The 19948-nt window shown below is 43.3% G+C and overlaps 1 protein-coding gene across 1 annotated transcript in view, besides 1 other annotated feature; it reads right to left on the reverse strand.

Annotated features, from left to right (window-relative positions):
• UBE2G1 (ubiquitin conjugating enzyme E2 G1) overlaps window positions 1–19948 on the reverse strand; it is a 97417-nt gene that overhangs the window by 66472 nt on the left and 10997 nt on the right. The gene's annotated exons all lie outside the window — the stretch shown is intronic.
• Window positions 1275–2055: an enhancer, noted in NCBI's record as "H3K4me1 hESC enhancer chr17:4240300-4241080 (GRCh37/hg19 assembly coordinates)". NCBI's record gives its function as "activates a minimal SCP1, AML or CMV promoter by ChIP-STARR-seq in primed H9 embryonic stem cells {active_cell/tissue: H9 hESC(primed)}" and the evidence as "EXISTENCE:reporter gene assay evidence [ECO:0000049][PMID:30033119]".

Below are 19948 nucleotides of genomic sequence, written 5' to 3' on the forward strand. Positions count from 1 at the left end.
ATACAAAATAACGAAGCACACAACCACCAACGGTATCTTAGACATAACGAAATACAGTATATAACTTACAAAATGAGACAGAAGGGATAGCAAATAAAGAAAACAAACCATGTAGTTTAAAGGAAGAAAACCAAGCCAGACACTGTAGCTCTCACCTATAATCCCAGCACTTTGGGAGGCCAAGGCGGGAGGATCACTTGAGGTCAGGAGTTCGAGACCAGCCTGGCCAACATGGTGAAATCCCATCTCTACTAAAAATACAAAAATTAGCCGGGCATGGTGGCAGGCGCCTGTAATTCCAGCTACTCGGGAGGCTGAGGCAGGAGAATCGCTTGAACCCGGGAGGTGGAGGTTGCAGTGAGCCCGAGATCATGCCACTGCACTCCAGCCTGGGCGACAGAGCTAGACTGTCTCAAAAAGAAAAGAAAAGAAAGAAAACCAAAAGCAAACATATAGATGACAACAAAACAAATACACTAATATTATATAAGCAAAGCAAAATATATAACATTAATGTAAATGATTAAAAGCATCTCAAATTGAGTCAAGACTAACCTTTATCCAACTACAAGGGTCTACAAGAGACAAATCTAAAATAGAGACTTTGAGAAGTTAAAGTAAAAGGTTAGATAAAAGCATACATAGCAAGCATCAACACCCTTTCAAAACCAGCTGAATTCAAACTGAAAGAATATTAAAGGAGGCAGAAAAGGGTCATTTTTTATAATGATCAAGATTACAATCTATAAAGATATGTTATAAAACTATATATACCAAAATTTTCATAATATATAGTTACAACAAAAACTTTTTTTTTTGAGACAGGGTCTTGCTCTGTTGCCCAGGCTCAAGTACAATGGTGCAAGGCTCACTGCAACCTCCACCTCCCAGGTTCAAGTGATTCTCCTGCCTCAGCCTCCAAAGTAGCTGGGATTACAGGCATGCACCACCACACCCAGCTAATTTTTGTATTTTTAGTAGAGGGGAGGTTTCATCATTTTGGCCAGGCTGGGATTACATGTGAGCCACCGCACCCAGCCAGAACAAAAATTTCAAAGAAATCTAAGAAAAACTTTTAGGCAGAAGTAAGAATATAAGAGTATCATTTCCTGAAAGATCAAATACATAAACGACAAAATGGCTGAACATGTGAAAGAATGAGATCAAGTCTCTATGCAACAGTTATAAAAACTGATCATCAATTTAGGCCATTAACACCTCAAAAATTTCAGGAAAGTAGAAATAGTCTATACAATCTGACAATGAAACAATTAAGCTACTCCCCTTAATGCAGTAGACTTGACATTTATGTACTCTCTCTCCTTAAATTACTTCAAGTAATTGAATGGAGTAATGTAAATCAAAATCAATAGAGATTACCTAGAAAATAACAATGATAAAAACTGCCCATATAAAAATCTCTGGTACGACTGGGCCTAGCGGCTCACACAATAAAAAAAGTTAGCCGGGCATCCTGGCGCGTGCCTGAAGTCCTAGCTATTTGAGAGGTTGAGGTGGGAGGATCCCTTGAGCCCAGGAGGTCAAGGATGCAATGAGTCGTGTTCATGCCACTACACTCTAATCTGTGTAAAAAAAAAAAAAAGAAAAGAAAAGAAAGAAAGAAAGAAAAGGAAAAAGAAGGCTGGGGGCAGTGGCTCACGCCTGTAATCCCAGCACTTTGGGAGGTCGAGGCAGGTGGATCACCTGAGGTCAGGGGTTCGAAACCAGCCTGGCCAACACGGTGAAACCCTGACTCTACTAAAAATACAAATGTTAGCCAGGTGCGGTGGCGCATGCCTGTAATCCCAGCTACTCGGAAGGCTGAGGCAGGAGGATCACTTGAACCCGGGAGGTGGAGGTTGCAATGAGCTGAAATCACGCCACTGCACTCCAGCCTGGGCAACAAGAGCGAAACTCGGTCTCAAAAAAAAAAAAAGAAAAGAAAAAATAAAAAGAAGAGAAAAAAATCTTTGGTACACTAATAAAGCTATACTCAGAGGAAGAGAGCCACAGCCTAAACACCTTCAACTGAGCAAGAATTAAATGAGCATTCAACTCAAGGTTAGAAAATAAACATTTAAAAATAAGAACAAGGGAATTCAAAGTTACTCAAGTAAGATAACAGAAGCCTGCAGAATTAATTCTAAAACCTAGGAGCAGCCAGGAACGGTGGCTCATGCCTGTAATTCCAGCACTTTGGGAGGCTGAGGCGGTTGGATCACGAGGTCAGGAGATCAAGACCATCCTGGCTAACATGGTGAAAACCCATCTCTACTAAAAATACAAAAAATTAGCCAGGCATGCTGGCACGTGCCTGTAGTCCCAGCTACTGGGGAGGCTGAGGCAGGAGAACTGCTTGAACCTGGGAGGCAGAGGTTGCAGTGAGCTCAGATCGCGCTACTGCACTGCAGCCTAGGCGACAGAGCGAGACTCCATCTCAAAAAAAAAAAAACGAAAACAACTTAGGCGCTATATTTTGATGGGAGGGGAAAAAAAACAGACAAACTATTAGCTGGACTAAAAAAACAATTATATGAAATTAGGGACTGAAAAGGAAGTAAGATAATAGAGAAGAAATAAAAATAAGTATAAAATATGTTTCCAGTAAATCCTAAGCTGCTAAATTTTAAACACAGATACAATGGATGATTTTCTGGGAAAATATAAATTGTCAAAAGCATCTAACAGAATTAGAAAACACTCCAATAACTTCCGAAGATTCGCATAAGTTACACAGTTAGCTCCCCCCTCAACTCCAAATACCAGTCCCAGACATTTTCATAGTAAGTAAAGGTAATTTCAAAGGTAATTCTTTTATTAAACTATCCTATGAAACAGAAAAGCTTCCCAATTCATTTCCTAAGCCAACTGTGTATAGACAGCAGAGTATACTCAATAAAAATTCTAAATTATAATAGCAAACTCTGTATTATATTTATCTCAGACACTGGTCTAGCTAGGCAGTATGCATGCTTCAACTCATTTACTCTCAAAACAATTTGATGATCTGGAGTGAGAGTCAAAATATTTAACAGCAGGTATAGAATAGATGCCGATCAATCAGAAAAAATGCCAGAGCTAGGCTCTGCTGCAGCACCATCCTCTTTGTGCCAAACATAATTATCCCTTCAGCGGCTAGATAACCAAGGAAGGGGCAAGTATCTTAACGACCTGTACAATGACGGTGCTAGTGCCTACTGACCGAGCACTACTCCCTGCTCAGGGGAAATGTCTGGGACTGGTACCGCTCGGGAGTAGTTCTCAGTCAGTCACAATACCATAGTAATGGTATTATCCACCTCTATTTTACAGGTATTCTTTCCTTTTAATATCAGGAATGTATATTACATTTTATGAAAATTTTTCAACAACAGTAACAACGAACGCTTTTTCTTTTCGACATTAACATCATGTTAGATCAAGAGATTAAACCTGAGTTTGTGGAAGATTGACACCTTTTAAGTTTCTTCTTGGGTTATATTTACTATTATTTTATTTTAGAAAGGCCACATAGCATAGAGGTTAAGTGCCTAATTGCTGGAGCCTCAATGTGTGGGTTCAGACCCAAGCGCTTCTCTATTTTTTTTTTTTGAGACGGAATTTCACTCTTGTTGCCCAGGCTGGAGTGCAGTGGTGCGATCTTGGCTCCCTGCAACCTTCGACTCCCGGCTTCAAGCAATTCTCCTGCCTCAGCCTCCCAAGTAGCTGGGATTACAGGCACCCACGACCACGATCGGCTAATTTTTTGTATTTAGTAGAGACGGGGTTTCAGCATGTTGACCAGGCTGGTCTTAAACTCCTTACCCTCAGATGATCCACCTGCCTTGGCCTCCCAAAGTGCTGGGATTACAGGCGTGAGCCACCGCGCCTGGCTCAAGCTCTTAACTCTTTTGGGCGGATCACCTGAGGTTGGGAGTTCGAGACCAGCCTGACCAACATGGAAAAACCATGCCTCTATTAAAAATACAAAATTAGGCAGGTGGTGGCACATGCCTGTAATGCCAGCTACTCGGGAGGCTGAGGCCACAGAATCACTTGAACCCGGGAGGTGGAGGTTGCGGTGAGCCGAGATCATGCCATTGCGCTCCAGCCTGGGCAACAAGAGCAAAACTGCATCTCAAAAAAAAAAAAAGTCAAAGCCAAATTTTCCTAAAATAACAATAAAACGTATTCCTTCTCTCTTTTCCTTTTTCTTTTCTTTTCCTTCTTTTGATGGAGTCTCACTTCTCTCAGCCTGGGGCTGCACGGGCTGGAGTGCAGTGGTGCAGTCATAGCTCACTGCAGCCCTGGCTGTGGGCTCAAGCTATCCTCTCACCTCAGCTTCCTGATTAGCTGGGAACACAGGTGCATATGGCTTTTTTTAACTGTTTGTAGAGACAGGGTCTCCCCTATGTTGCCCAGGCTGGTCTCAAATTCCTGGGCTCAAGTGATCCTCCTACCTTGGCCTCCCAAAATGTTGGGGTAACAGGCATGAGCTACCATGCCCAACCTAATAAAACTTATTTATATCCCCTCTTTCATCCTTGCATCCTCCGTCTTGCCCTAAACTGATACTGAGGTTCTGATGTTCTTAGAGAACATAGCTACTGAATTTTCAAAATAGGAATATACTTAAATCCAGTGAGAGTTTGAGTAGATTTTCCAAGCATCTCCCGGTTCCAACTCTCCTTCTAATGTTCCCACTTTATCTGCACTAACTTTACAACTGGTCCTAAAACTACAATTACATGTTGAGGGAGGGACCTCATGGGCTGTGATTAGATCATGGGGGCATTCACCCATGCTGTTCTCGTGATAGTGAGTTCTCACGAGATCTGATGGTTTTATAAGGTGCTTTTCCCCGCTTCGCACTGCACTTCTCTCTCCTGCCGCCATGTTGAAGAAGGATGTTTGCTTCCCTTTCTGCCATGATTGTAAGTTTCCAGAGGCCTCCCCAGCCATGCAGAACTGTGAATTAAACCTCTTTCCTTTATAAATTATCCAGTCTCGGGCAGTTCTTTATAGTAGCATGAGAACAAACTAATACCCAACATACTATTTTTTTTTATTTTTTCTTAAATAGAGATGGGGTCTCACAATGTTGACCAGGCTGGTCTTGAACTCCTGGTCTCAAGTGACCCTCCCATTTCGGCCTTCCACACCCGGCCCCTTAATTCACGTATTTAAAAAAAAAAAAAAAAAACAAAACCTTCAAAACCATAACATGAATATAACAAAATTACAATGTTTCTGATTAGAACTATGAAAATCTTGTCTTTCCAGGGTGAGTTTTAAGTTGATATTCTGTGTGAGTAGCACCTTTGGTGCCCAGTGTCTTTACAAAAAAAAAAAAAAAAAAAGATGGCATAACTAGAAATTACTGACTGAGCCATCTGGCTCAAATGAAAAGCCAGTATTTTCAGAGTATTAGTCACACACTGAAAGAAGCTGGTCATGCAAATCACATTGTAACTTTATAAATATTACAAACTTAACAATTTCAGTCAACGCTTACTGGGTACTATGTTCTGTAATCATCCCTTTATAAAGTATTAAACTTAATACTCACAAAAATCATGAGATAAGTATGAAAATGTTCCCCATTTTACCCAGACATATCGTCTAACCTGAATCTCTGCCGATGTATTTACTTCTCTACCTTCTCTCATGTTACTCTGGATCAACTGCCCTTGCTCCTAATAAGGCTTCCAAACTGGCCAGTAATTAGATCTGATCTCATTCTTCCCACTCAGATGTCCTCAAAGACACTGCTCCAGAAATTCCTACCCTCTCCTGTGTCATCGGTTCTTCTCTCTACTAAATTCAATCCCATCAGCATCAAGCATGCCACTAGCAATTCTCCAACTTTACACACACACGCATGCAGACACATACACAAATGAAGCCCACAAGCCCTCCAGTTACTGCACCATTTCTCAACACCCCTTCACGGTACAACTTTAAGAGTTGTCTTCATTCCTTATCTCCACTTGCTGCTCTCCTTCCATTCTCTCAGGCTCATACCAATCCGTCCAGTGCAACTGCCTTTCTCAAAGTACCATTCACCTCTAGTGGTCACTCATCAGTCCTTATCTTACCCAAACTCTTTTTTGACACAGCTGATCTCTCTTCCCTTGAAGCTTTCTTCACTTGGCTTAAAGGCCACAGCATTCTGGTTTGCCTCCTCTGACACCTCACTGACGCCGCTCACACTCCTTCACTAGCTTCTGGTTACTTATCTGGCTTCTTAATGCCAGTGTGTCCCAAGACTTAGTCCTCAATCTTCTTCACCTATCTACAGTTACTCCCTTATTGAGCCCATCCAACTTCATAGTTTATATGCAATCCATATGCTAACAATTTCCCACTTTATATCTCTAAGCTAAACCTCCTCACTGAATTCCAGATCAAATATAGTAAGCTGCCTATGTGACTTCTCTACTTCAGTGTCTAATAGACAAATCAAAAGTAGCATATTCAAAACCAAGCCCCTGATTATCTCTCCTTGTCCTGCGTCTTTCTTTTCCATTTCAGTTAATGTCAACTCCATCCTTTCAGATGTTCAGGCCAAAAACCCTGAAATCATCCTTGACACATTCTCTCACACACTCTACCCTTCAAATATTGTGTTCCTTCTAGGCCAGGCGCAGTAGCTCATACCTGTAATCCCAGCATTTTAGGAGGCCAGGCTGGACAACAAAGTGAGACCCCATTTCTACAAAAAATGTTAAACATTAGTCAGGCGCAGTGGTGCATGCCTATGGTCCCAGCTACTGGGGAAGCTGAGGCTTGAGCCCAGGGGTTCGAGGCTGTGGTGAGCCATGTTTGTGCCACTGAACTCCTGCTGGGCAACAAATCGAGATCCTGCCTCAAAGAAAAAGAAAAGAATTCTATTCCACCAGCAAATTCCAACAGCTCTATTTAGGAAATACACCCAAGAATTAAACCACTTTGTTCTCGGCTCCAATACAGGTCCAAGCTAGCATCATGTCTCATCTGACTCTCCGTGCAGTCTATATTCTCAGCATAGCAAGCCAAGAATGATCTCATTAAAATGTAAATCAGGTCATATCACTCCAGTGCTGAAAAACCTCACGGGTACCTCACTCTGAGTAAAAGCCTAAATCCTTACCTGTAAAAAATCACACAGCCTCCCCTCCACACCCTTTGCTGCTCCTCTGACATTGCCAGGCCTCTCTCCCACTGCAGCGCCCCTGTACTGTTCTTCTCTTGGCCTGGAAAGCTCTTCAAGACATCAGTACTCCACCCTCAACTTTTCATTCCCTTTCCCCGCTTTATTTTCTCTCCAGGGCACTTATCACTACCTAATACACCACATTTTTAATTTAATTATCTAGTTTACCATCTGTCTTCCCACAATAACTGCAAAACTTTGTACCAGCAAAACTTTCATGTCCTGTTCTTTAATGTACTGCTATGTTTACAAAAGTAGGCACTCAAATATTTGTTAAATGTAGAATTCAATTTGAAGATTATGTGTGATCTGCCAGCACTTTAAATTCAAAGTACCAACATAAGGTAATTTTTACATGATCCTATGGCTTAAAGGCTCTAAAAGTTTATATTAATAACAAGTCCAGGCCAGGCGCGGTAGCTCACGCCTGTAATCCCAGCACTTTGGGAGGCCCAGGTGGGTGGGTCACCTGAGGTGTAGTCCCAGCTACAAGGGAGGCTGAGGCAGAAGAATTGCTTTAACCCAGGAGGCGGAGGTTGCAGTGAGCCAAAATCATGACACTGGACTCCAGCCTGGATGAAAAGAGTGAGACTCCATCTCAAAAAAAAATTTTATGTCCAAGCCCTCTTTTCATATATATGAAGGTTGGTTTGGGTGGCATTTCACTATACTCTTCTTCAAACCTTTTTTCTTTTTTTTTTTGAGACGGAGTCTCGCTCTGTCGCCCAGGCTGGAGTGTGGTGGCGCAATCTCGGCTCACTGCAAGCTCCGCCTCCTGGGTTCACGCCATTCTCCTGCCTCAGCCTTCTGAGTAGCTGGGACTACTGGCGCCCACCACCACGCCCGGCTAATTTTTTGTACTTTAATTAGACACAGGGTTTCACTTGTTTGCCAGGATGGTCTCGATCTCCTGACCTCATGATCCGCCCGCCTCATTCTCCCAAAGTGCTGGGATTACAGGCGTGAGCCACCGCGCCCAGCCTCAAACCTTTTTTCAAGAGGAGCAGAAACATTTATACTGGTAGATTTCTCCTCAGTTGCAACAGATACAAACTCTGGAGACTAAAGCTCTGGGGATGTTTCTGGAAAAAAATAGCAATGACTATTAGCCAAAAGACAAAAACAGGCAAACAAATACAATGGTACTCCAACAGGCTTCTAAAACAGCACTAAGTCCTTCATTTATTGAAGGAGGAGCCAAGGTTATTCTCAATCAATCGTAAAGCAAGTTCATAGGAGGAATAAATTGCATACCAAGAAAAAAAGCAATCAAGAGTTAAGTACTTAGAGCTGTTAACACTGAGTGTTATACAAAGTAAGTCTGTACCTCAAAGAATCTACAATCAAGAAGCCCGGCCGGGCGCGGTGGCTCGCGCCTGTAATCCCAGCACTTTGGGAGGCCGAGGCAGGCGGATCACGAGGTCAGGACATTGAAACCATCCTGACTAACACAGTGAAACCCCGTCTCTACTAAAACTACAAAAAATTAGCTGGGTGTGGTGATGGGGGCCTGTAGTGCCAGCTACTCGGGAGGCTGAGGCAGGAGAATCTCTTGAACCCGGGAGGCGGAGGCTGCAATGAGCCGAGATTGCGCCACTGCACTCCAGCCTGGACGACAAGAGTGAAACGCCATATGAAGAAAGCTCTCAAAAAAAAAAAAGGAAAGGAAAAAGCTCTCAGCCAGGTGCGGTGACTCACACCTGTAATCCTAGCACTTTGGGAGGCTGAGGCCAGAGGTTTGAGACCGGCCTGGGCAACACAATGAGAAACCCCCATCTCTACAAAAAATAAACATAAAACTTAGCTGGGTGTGGTGGTGTACCATGTGGTGGTATAGTCCTAGCTACATGGGAGGCTGAGACAGGAGGATCACTTGAGCCCAGGGGTTTGAGGCTGCAGTGAGCTATCACTGTGCCACCTCATTGCAGCCTGGGCTACAGAGACTCTGTCCCTAAATATATAAAAAATAAATAAAAAATAAAAGGGATGAGAGTTAAGGTATTAAAAAATAAGTATTTTACCTGCCTTCAGAAATTTCCCACAATTCAAAATTCAAAAATGTTTATGTGGCTAAGAAATGAAGAATCAAACTTCAAATTACAAACAGAATTACTGAAAATTTTAAATGAGCTTTGCAAATACATTAATTCAGAACTAAAAGTCTGATATGATGTCACATTAAAGCAAGAAGCCCAGAAGGGACAAGCAGAGTGACAGCACCAAATGGGCAGCCAGAAATACAAGGAAGTCCAAGCCCCTCATGAGCAACTTAGTTTTCATGACTTTTTTCCAACTTTTATTTTAGATTCAGGGGGTTATTACTTTGTTTGAGGGGAAAAGGTGTCAACAACTTTTCTCTGCAATGTTTAGCCAAAGGTAATCTAATAAATAATCAAATAATCTTTCCCACACAAGCCTCGAGCAGATTCTAATGGCCTGAAAAGTACAAATGATGCTCAATTTGAATTTTAAACAATATTGTTCCACTTTCATTCTATAAAGAAAATGAAAATATAATTTACTCTGAAAGGCACTTTTAAAAATTCAATTCCTGGCTTATTTCCAGTAACTTACAAATATTCCCTATACATAACTTTCATTGATCCCTTTAAAACTTTAAAAATCACACATACAGTAAATAAACCTTCGGTAACACTATAAAAACAATTACTATTACTTCTAGCAATTACTTATCAAGGCAAATAAACAGCTACTGAATTTACCATTGAACTTTCTTTAGTCATAGTAACGAGAGATATCTGGTACTCCATTGCATTTACTGAAAAAATGTTTACAGACTTAAGACTTGTTTACTCTTCTAATAGTCACCTACTACACAATTCTCATCTTACAAGGGAAGGTCTCTTGTTGATCTTCAGAGCATGAAATCAGAGACAGCTTTAGTATGTAGATCCCCAAGTAAAAATAGAACAGATTCCAGGGACTCAAAATGAGAAGGCGGAGGAAGAACAACTCTTATTTAAGAAAACAACCTACAGTTCTATTCAAAATCATAAAATGGATGATTATATTTCATATAATTTGGATACCAAGTGTTGAATAATTCAAGATTGCACTTTTAGAATTCATTTTACCTTGGGATTACTAATAGGATTCTAGCATCTGCTATTGATATTGCAACAATATAGGATTCAGAATTGCTAAACAACTTCCTCTTTATAAAAATGACTAACCTTAAAATACAGTCTGATTTACAACCAGTAATCTGAAGACCAATTTTAACTCATACTTTCTACCTTCTGAAAGCCTTTTACACTAATTAAATAAACATCAAATGTTAGTACTAACCAACAATAACCATGAATGCCTCACTCAGACTAAAAGCCTAAATCCTTACCTGTAAAAACCACACAGACTCCCCTCCACACCCTTTGTTGCTCCTTATCCAGACTTATACCGAAATAATCCTAAATATGTATTAGATAGCTAATACACTTGTTTTGTATGGTCCTTCACAGTAGATGAGTTACTGCAGTCTCATCTATACAGCTTACATTTTCTTCTTCTTTTTTTTTTTTTTTTTTTTTGAGACAGAGTCTCGCGCTGTTGCCCAGGCTGGAGTGCAGTGGCGCGATCTCGGCTCACTGCAACCTCTGCCTCCTGGGTTCAAGCGATTCTTCTTGCCTCAGCCTCCCAAGTGGCTGGGACTATAGGTGTGCACCACCATGCCCGGCTAATTTTTGTATTTTTAGTAGAGACGGGGTTTCACTATGTTGGCCAGGCTGGTCTTGAACTCCTGACCTCGTGATCCACCCGCCTCGGCCTCCCAAAGTGCTGTGATTACAGGTGTGAGCCACCGCGTCCAGCTCCAGCTTACATTTTCAATAGAAGTCAAGAAAGGAAGACAGAGGAAACTTAAACTCTGTGATTCATTCAAAATATATTTGCTGAGTATCTATATATGCCCAGTATTGTGTTATGTGCTAGTGATATAATGTAGCACAGGATCAGACGCGGTGGCTCATGCCTGTAATCCCAGCACTTTGGGAGACCAAGGCGGGCGGATCACTTGAGGTCAGGAGTTGGAGACCAACCTGGCCAACACAGTGAAACCCCGTCTCTACTAAAAATACAAAAATTAGCCGGGCATGGTGGTGTATGCTTGTAATCTCAGCCACTCAGGAGGCGGAGGCAGGAGGATCGCTTGAGCCCAGGAGGCGGAGGTTGCAGTGAGCCAAGATCATGCCACTGCACTCCAGCCCTGGGCAACAGAGTTACTCCAGCTCAAAAAAATAATAATAAATGTACCACAGGTTGAGTATCCCTTATCTAAAATGCTTGGGACCAAAAACATTCTGGATTTCAGATTTTGGAATATTTGCATACACATAATGAGACATCCTGGAAATGTAACCCAAGTCTATTAAACACAAAATTTATTTATGTTTCATTCACAGGCACATCTTGTTTTAATGCACTTCAGTTACTGTGTTTTTAACAAATTGAAGGTTCATCAAGCAAGTCTATCAGTGCCATTTTTCCAACATCATGTGCTCACTTGATGTCTCTGTGTCATATTTCGGTAATTCTCACAGTATTTCTTCTTTTTTTTTTTTTTTTTTTTTTGGACATAGAGTCTCGCTCTGTCACCCAGACTGGAGTGCAGTGGCACAATCTCAGCTCACTGCAACCTCCACCTCCTAGGTTTGAGAGATTCTCATGCCTCAGCCTCCCAAATAGCTGCAACTACAGGCAAATGCCACCATGTCTGGCTAATTTTTGTATTCTTTTAGTAGATACAGGTTTTCACCACGTGGACCAGGCTGGTCTCAAACTCCTGACCTCAAGTGATCCACCCATCTCAGCCTCCCAAAGTGACAGGATAAAGGCGTGAGCCACCGCGCCTGGCCAGTTTTTTTCATTATTACTATATTTGTTATGGTGATCTGTGATCAGTGATCTTTGGTTTTTCTATTATAATTGTTTTGGGGCACCACGAATTGTGCCCATATGAGAAAGCAAGCTTAATAAACGTTGTGTGTGTTCTGACTGCTCCACCAACTGCCAGTTCCTGTCTGTCTCCCTGATTCTCAGGACTCCCAATTATCCTGAGACACAACAATACTGAAATTAAGTCAAATAATAACCCTAGAATGGCCTCTAAATGTTCAAGTGGTCTCACTTTAAATCAAACGCTAGAAACGATTAAGATTAGTGGACACCTGGCCAAGAAATTTTAAAAGTTAGCCAGGCGCAATGGCGTGCACCTGTAGTCCCAACTACTTGGGAGGCTGAGGCAGGAGGATCACCTAAGCCCAGGAGGCTGAGGCTGCAGTGAGCTATAACCACACCACTGCACTCCAGTCTAGGTGACAGAGCAAGACCCTGTCTGTAAAGAAAAAAATAGGCCGGGCGCGGTGGCTCACGCCTGTAATCCCAGCACTTTGGGAGGCCGAGGCGGGCGGATCACGAGGTCAGGAGATCGAGACCATCCCGGCTAAAACGGTGAAACCCCGTCTCTACTAAAAATACAAAAAATTAGCCGGGCGTAGTGGCGGGCGCCTGTAGTCCCAGCTACTTGGGAGGCTGAGGCAGGAGAATGGCGTGAATCCGGGAGGCAGAGCTTGCAGTGAGCCGAGATCCCGCCACTGCACTCCAGCCTGGGCGACAGAGCGAGACTCCGTCTCAAAAAAAAAAAAAAAAAAATTAAAGAACAGGCCGGGGGCAATGGCTCATGCCTGTAATCCCAGCACTTTGGGAGGCTGAAGTGGGTAGATCATGAGATCAGCAGTTCAAGACCAGCCTGGCCAACATGGTGACACCCCACCACTACTAAAATACAAAAATTAACTAGGCATGGTGGCATGTGCCTATAATTCCAGGTACTCAGGAGGCTGAGGCACAAGAATCACTTGAACCTGGGAGGCAGAGGTTGCAGTCAGCTGAGATTATGCCACTGCACTCCAGCCTGGGAGACACAACAAGACTCCGTCTCAAAAAAATAAAAATAAAAATAAAAATTAATTAATTAATAATAATAGGGCCGGGCACGGTCGCTCACACCTGTAATCCCAGCACTTTGGGAGGCCAAGGCAGGCAGATCACGAGGTCAAGAGTTCAAGACCAGCCTGGCCAACATGGTGAAACCCAGTCTCTACTAAGAATACAAAAATTAGGCTGGGCGAGGTGGCTCACGCCTGTAATCTCAGCACTTTGGGAGGCCGAGGTGGGCAGATCACGAGGTCAGGAGTTTGAAAACAGCCTGACCAACATGGTGAAACCCTGTCTCTACTAAAATACAAAAATTAGCCAGATGTCGTGGCGCATGCGTGTAGTCCCAGCTACTCAGGATGCTGAGGCAGGAGAATTGCTTGAACCCGGGAGGCAGAGGTTGCAGTGAGCCAAATTTGCACCACTGCACTCCAGCCTAGGACTACCATGAGAATGGTGTGACACCATATATGTTTTTCTTTAAGGATGGTTTAGAGATGGAAAAATGTTAACAAATTTGGCAATTACTTTGGATCACCTGCCGTCATAACTGGCTGCTGCTTGTCATTCACACAACACCAGAACTTAAAACAAATGGAACTGATGTCATCTTGAACTCTTCATTTATTTTGATTTGGAATGGAGGCATTGTTTTTAAAAAAAAAACACGTCACATAGTTGTCTAAAAATAAAATACATTTAATTGGCCAGGCGCTGTGGCTCACGCCTGTAATCCCAGCAGCTTGGGAGGCCGAGGTGGGCGGATCACGAGGTCAGGAGATTGAGACCATCCTGGCTAACACGGTGAAACCCCGTCTCTACTAAAAATACAAAAAATTAGCCGGGCGTGGTGGCATGCACCAGTAGTCCCAGCTACTCGGGAGGCTGAGGCAGAAGAATGGCATGAACCCGGGAGGCGGAGCTTGCAGTGAGCCGAGATTGCGCCACTACACTCCAGTCTCGGCGACAGAGCGAGATTCCGTCTCAAAAAAAAAAAAAATTACATTTAACCTCAAATTAAATAAATAAAAGGACACTGTAATATAACATCTTCACAATACCCAAAATGAGTTTCAAAGGCCTGTTACTTATAGCATACCTATTCAAAGTGGGAGAGAGGGGACCTCACCATCTTGCTCAGGCTGGTCTCAAAACTCCTGGACTCAAGCAATCCTCCTGCCTCGGCCTCCCAAAATGTTGGGATTACAGAAGTTAAGTCACTGCACCCAGCGCTTAAAACTTTTTCAGAATCTTCTTATATACAAATGAGCAAATTTCTATCTTACATATTATGGCTAATGTAACTAACTTAGAACATTGTTGGCCAGGCGTGGTAACTCACACCTGTATTCCCAGCACTTTGGGAGGCTGAGAAGGGTGGATCACCTGAGGTCAGGAGTTTAGGACCAGCCTGGCCAACATGGTGAAACCTCGTCTCTACCAAAAATACAAAAATTAGCTGAGCATGGTGGTGCGCCTGTAATCCCAGCTACTCAGGTGGCTGAGGTGGGAGAATTGCTTGAACCTGGGAGGCAGAGGCTGCAGTAAGCTGAGATTGTGCCACTGCACTCCAGCCTGGGCAACAGAGCAAGACCCTGTCTCAAAAAAAACAAAAAAGAACACTGTCAAGGCAGTTAAAACTAAGTATCACCTTGAACATTTCAAAATAAATAATAAAGAATTCAGAGAACATCTGGCTCTGAACAGTGTCAGTCTCCAAATTAAACTAATTGTAAAAATGTGCACCCAGCAACTTAGACGTAATTATTTAGGTTATAATTTATCTATTTAAATCACTCTTAGATGATGCAGCTATATCATTTTCCTGATAATGATGTCTTCGCCATTCCAACAGAGAAAATGTTTGAATCCAGCTCATTTAAAAATAGTATGAGGCTGGACGTGTTGGCTCACGTCTGTAATCCCAGCACTTTGGGAGGCCGAGGAGGGCAGATCACGAGGTCAGGAGGTCGAGACCATCCTGGCTAACATGGTGAAACCCCGCCTCTACTAAAAATACAAAAAAACTAGCCGGGCATGGTGGCAGGCGCCTGTAGTCCCAGCTACTCGGGAGGCTGAGGCAGGAGAATGGCGTGAACTCGGGAGGCAGAGCTTGCAGTGACCCGAGATCTCACCACTGCACTCCAGCCTGGGCGACAGAGCAAGACTTCGTCAAAAAAAAAAAAAAAAAATTTAGCCAGGTGTAGTGGTGCGTGCCTGTAATCCCAGCTACTCGGGACTCTGAGACAGGAGAATCACCTCTGCCCAGGAGGCAGAGGTTGCAGTGAGCCTGGCTGACAGAGGGAGACTGTCTCACGGGGGCTGGGGGGTGGGGGAAAGGTTAAAAATAAGAGAAACTGAATGCAGGGTATGTAAGAACTCACTGTACTATTCTCACAGTTCTTCTGTGTATCTGAAACTCTTCTAAAAAGGTTTATTTAAAAACAAAAATCCTATCACAGTCATATTGCTTCCCCAATAGCCATGCCATATGGCTTAGAGGCTGAAGAGGGTAGCAGGCAACACAATACCCTCGTCTGTGCCACTGCTGCACCTGCAAGAGTTAAATATAAACCAAACTGGATAACGAGAATTTTGTTGTATCCATTTGGCAAATGCTCAGGGCAGAAGAAGAGCAAAGGTGTCATCCTAAGGGAGAGATGTAGAAATAACCAGAGAAGATAGCAAAAATACAGTATTTTCCTAGGGGAACTATCATACCATAAATGTTCACAGCAGTCTGAAAATCAGAAATTATTCTGAGCTTTGTCAGTGCCAAGTAAAAGAAGAAAAAAGAATGAACAGAAAAAAGAAATTAGCACAGCCTAAAGTACTAATGAGGATAATATAAACCTTACGCACTGCTAAATACAAAAAAATAGGGAAATACAATCCTCTGTTTACCTAGGGTGAAAGAGTATCAAGGAAGACCTCGGAATAACACTCCTCTCTCTATATAAACCTTAAATAAGTAATTTAGTTTTAGAATCCTAAAGCCCAAAAGATGGCAAACAGACTCAAAATACCAGATGCGGCCATCACCAATAGTTATTAGTTCCCCTTCCAAAAGTTACAAAGACTTCAGAGTTTAACAGACAGTGTGCAGTGGTATAAAATGCGGTGGTCTTGGCCAGGTGCAGTGGCTCACGCCTGCAATCCCAGCACTTCGAAAGGCTGAGGCGGGTGAGGTGAGGAGTTAGAGACCAGCCTGGCCAACATGGTGAAACTCCGTCTTTTAAATATATTTGACACATCCTCAAAAAAAGTGACAAAATCAAAGGATCATATGACCCCACAGGCTCCCCAGGACCTAAGTAGAAAAGGGATCATCGTATCAACATTAATTTTATATTCATTCTCTATGTAGATCTAATTTAAACATTGTTTTTCTAAGAGGGGGTCTTGCTGTGTCAACCAGGCTGGAGGGCAGTGATGCACTCATGGCTCACTGCAGCCTCCAACTCCCGGGCTCAAGCGATCCTCCTGTCTTAGTCTCCCAAAGTGCTGGGATTACAGGCGTGAGCCACTGCACCAGGCCTAAACTTTGTTAAATGACAAGTTTGAAGATTAATGAAGTCTAGCTGTCTTGGTTCTGCTATTGCAAATAAGTGAAACTTAGTATTCTCTTTTGGAAACTACGGTCAGAAAGCTGGGTAGGAAATTTAAGGCTGCTAGGGCAGAGGACCAGACAGGAACTTCAGAGATGTGGGAGGAAAAGCCAAGAAGAAAACAATGTTAATTTTTGTAGTAATTTTTTAAATTATACAGAAAAGCTATAGTCATGACAGAGTTGTTCATTAAAGAAAATACTTCAGGGGTGGGCGTGGTGGCTGTATTATAGATAATACAGCTAGATCATTTTCCTGATAATGACATTTTCACCATTCCTACAGAGAAAATGTTTGAATCCAGCTCATTCAAAAATATTTTGTATGAGGCCGGGCATGGTGGCTCACCCCTGTAATCCCAGCACTTTGGGAGGCCGAGGCGGGCAGACTGCCTGAGCTCAGGAGTTCAAGATCAGCCTGGGCAACACGGAGAAACCCCGTCTCTACTAAAATACAAAAATCAGCCGGGTGTGGCCGGGTACACTGGCTCACGCCTGTAATCCCAGCACTTTAGGAGGGTGAGACGGACGGATCACGAGGTCAGGAGATCGAGACCATCCTGGCCAACACAGTGAAACCCCGTCTCTACTAAAAATACAAAAAATTAGCCAGGTGTGGTGGCGGGCGCCTGTAGTCCCACGTACCCAGGAGGTTGAGGCAGGAGAATTGCTTGAACCCAGGAGGCGGAGGCTGCGGTGAGCCGAGATCACGCCACTGCACTCCAGCCTGGGCGACAGAGTGAGACTCCATCTCGAAAACAACAACAACAACAACAAAAACTTTGAAAGAAAAATAAGGACCTTGATGAGACACTGAAGGTGTCTCAACAAGTGTCACTTGCTTAAACAAGTAAATGGAAAAGAAAAATATGTAAGAAGGGGGAAGAATGTGTATAATATTGTGGTGAAGTAGCTATATTGTATTACCAACTAATATAAACTAGTGTCGATCAACGAAACCCCATATATATATAGAGTTTCGTTGATATATATATATATACACACACACACACACACACACATATAATGTCACACCCCAGCATTTTTTTTTTTTTAGACAGAGTCTTGTTCTGTCACCAGGCTGGAGTGTAGTGGCGATCTTGGCTCACTGCAACCTCGGTTCAAGAGGTTCTTGAACACCTGGGTTCAAGCGATTCTCTTGCCTCAGCCTCCCGAGTAGCTGGCACTACAGGCACGTGCCACCACACCCGGCTAATTTTTGTATTTTTAGTAGAGACGGGTTTCACTGTGTTGGCCAGGATGGTCTCGATCTCCTGACCTCGTGATCCACCTGCCTCGGCCTCCCAAAGTGCTGGGAATACAGGCGTGAGCCACCGTGCCCGGTCAAATTTTTTTTTTTTTTTTTTTTTTTGAGACAGAGTCTCACTCAGTCACCCAGGCTGGAATGCAGTGGCGTGATCTCAGCTCACTGCAACCTCTGCCTTCTGGGTTCAAGAGATTCTCCTGCCTTGGCCTCCCAAAGTGCTGGGATTACAGGTGTGAGTCACTGCACCTGGCCTACCCCAGCATTTTTAAGGTCTTCCACAAACGTCAACCTTTCCAGATAGTTTTCCCACTAGTTCAGTTTATCATATACTCCAACTACACAACTTCTTTCAGCATAAACTTTGTCTTGCTTGTTCTTTTCCCTCAGCCTTAAATATTTTCCTTTTTCTGTGTGTCAAATTTGACAGATCTTTTAAAGGTCAAGCACAAGTGCCATGAACTCCTCCTCAAAGCCCTCCATGAACCAGACTGGTAGAAGCCAGCTTCTCTTGACTTTTTCTGTAATAACAACCCTAAAGCAGCTGTATTATGGAACTTTTATTTTTCTACAGACTACAAGTTCCTGAAACACCAAAACAGCATCCCAATAGTACACAAAATGGGCATCAAACTTGCTGATTTAAGAGACAGCATTAGATCTGCATAAATGAGCTTCACTCCACAGATCAAAGAACCCTCCGAAATTACATACCAAATTATGCATGTGTGCTTTTCTCAGGAGGTCTTTTAACTCTTGCTAGATTCTCAAAGGAAACTAAGAACTCCCAAAAGAAAAAAAATAAACTCTGAGAAGGCTGAGAAGGAAAGGGCTCGAGTTTTATCAGAAAATAAAACTGTTTCTACTAGCCAGCTCCATCAGCATTTAGGAGGGTTAGATTGGAGAAATTACCCAATTTCTTTATTTTCTTCAAATATTTGGCTGGGGCAAAGATTTGACACATGGTTCAAGGTGGGAGGATTGCTTGAACCCAGTAGTTCAAGACCAGCCTGGGCAACGTGGCAAAACCCTGTCTCTACCAAAAAAAAATTTTTTTTAATTTGCTGAGCATGGTGGCGCGTGCCTGTAGTCCCAGCTACGGAGGCAGATAAGGTGGGAGGTTCACTTGGGTCTGGGAGATTGAGGCTGCAGTAGGCCATCATCACATCCCTGCACTCCAGCCTGGGTGACAGAGCAAGACTTTATCAAAAGGAAAAATTAGCCAGGTGTGGTGGTGCATGCCTATAGTCCCAGCTATAGGGAGGGAGGGAGGAGGATTGCTTGAGCCGAGGAAGTGGAGGGTGCAGCGGGCCTTGATGTTGCCACTGCACTCTAGTCCGGACAACAGAGCAAGACCCTGTCTCAAAACAAAACAAAGATTTGATGTGATTTGCCTCACAAGCAACTGGGACTACAGGCATGTGCAACCACGACCAGCTAATTTTTGTATTCTTAGTAGAAATGGGGTTTCACCATGTTGGCCATGGCTTATCTCAAACTCCTGACCTCAGGTGATCCACCTGCCTCGGCCTCCCAAAGTTCTGGGATTACAGGCGTGAGTCACTCTGGGATTACAGGCATGAGTCACTAAGCCCGGCCTGCCAGACTATTTCCTTAGAAATTCATTTACTGGCTGGGAGCGATGGCTCAAGCCTATAATCCCAGCACTTTGGGAGGCCGAGGCGGGTGTATCACCTGAGGTCAGGAGTTTAAGACTAGCCATGGCCAGCATGGTGAAACAACATTTCTACTAAAAATACAAAAATTAGCCGGTTGTGGTGGCACACGCCTGTAGTCCCAGCTACTTCTGAGGCTGAGGCGGGAGAATCGCTTGAACCTGGGAGGCCGAGGTTGCGGTGGGCTGAGATCGTGCCACTACACTCCAGCCTGGGCAACAAGAGTGAAACTCCATCTCAAAAAAAAAAAAGAAAAAAAAAATTCATTTACTACT

The sequence above is a fragment of the Homo sapiens genome, chromosome 17, assembly GCF_000001405.40.
Source record: "Homo sapiens chromosome 17, GRCh38.p14 Primary Assembly".
Classification (NCBI taxonomy): domain Eukaryota; kingdom Metazoa; phylum Chordata; class Mammalia; order Primates; family Hominidae; genus Homo; species Homo sapiens.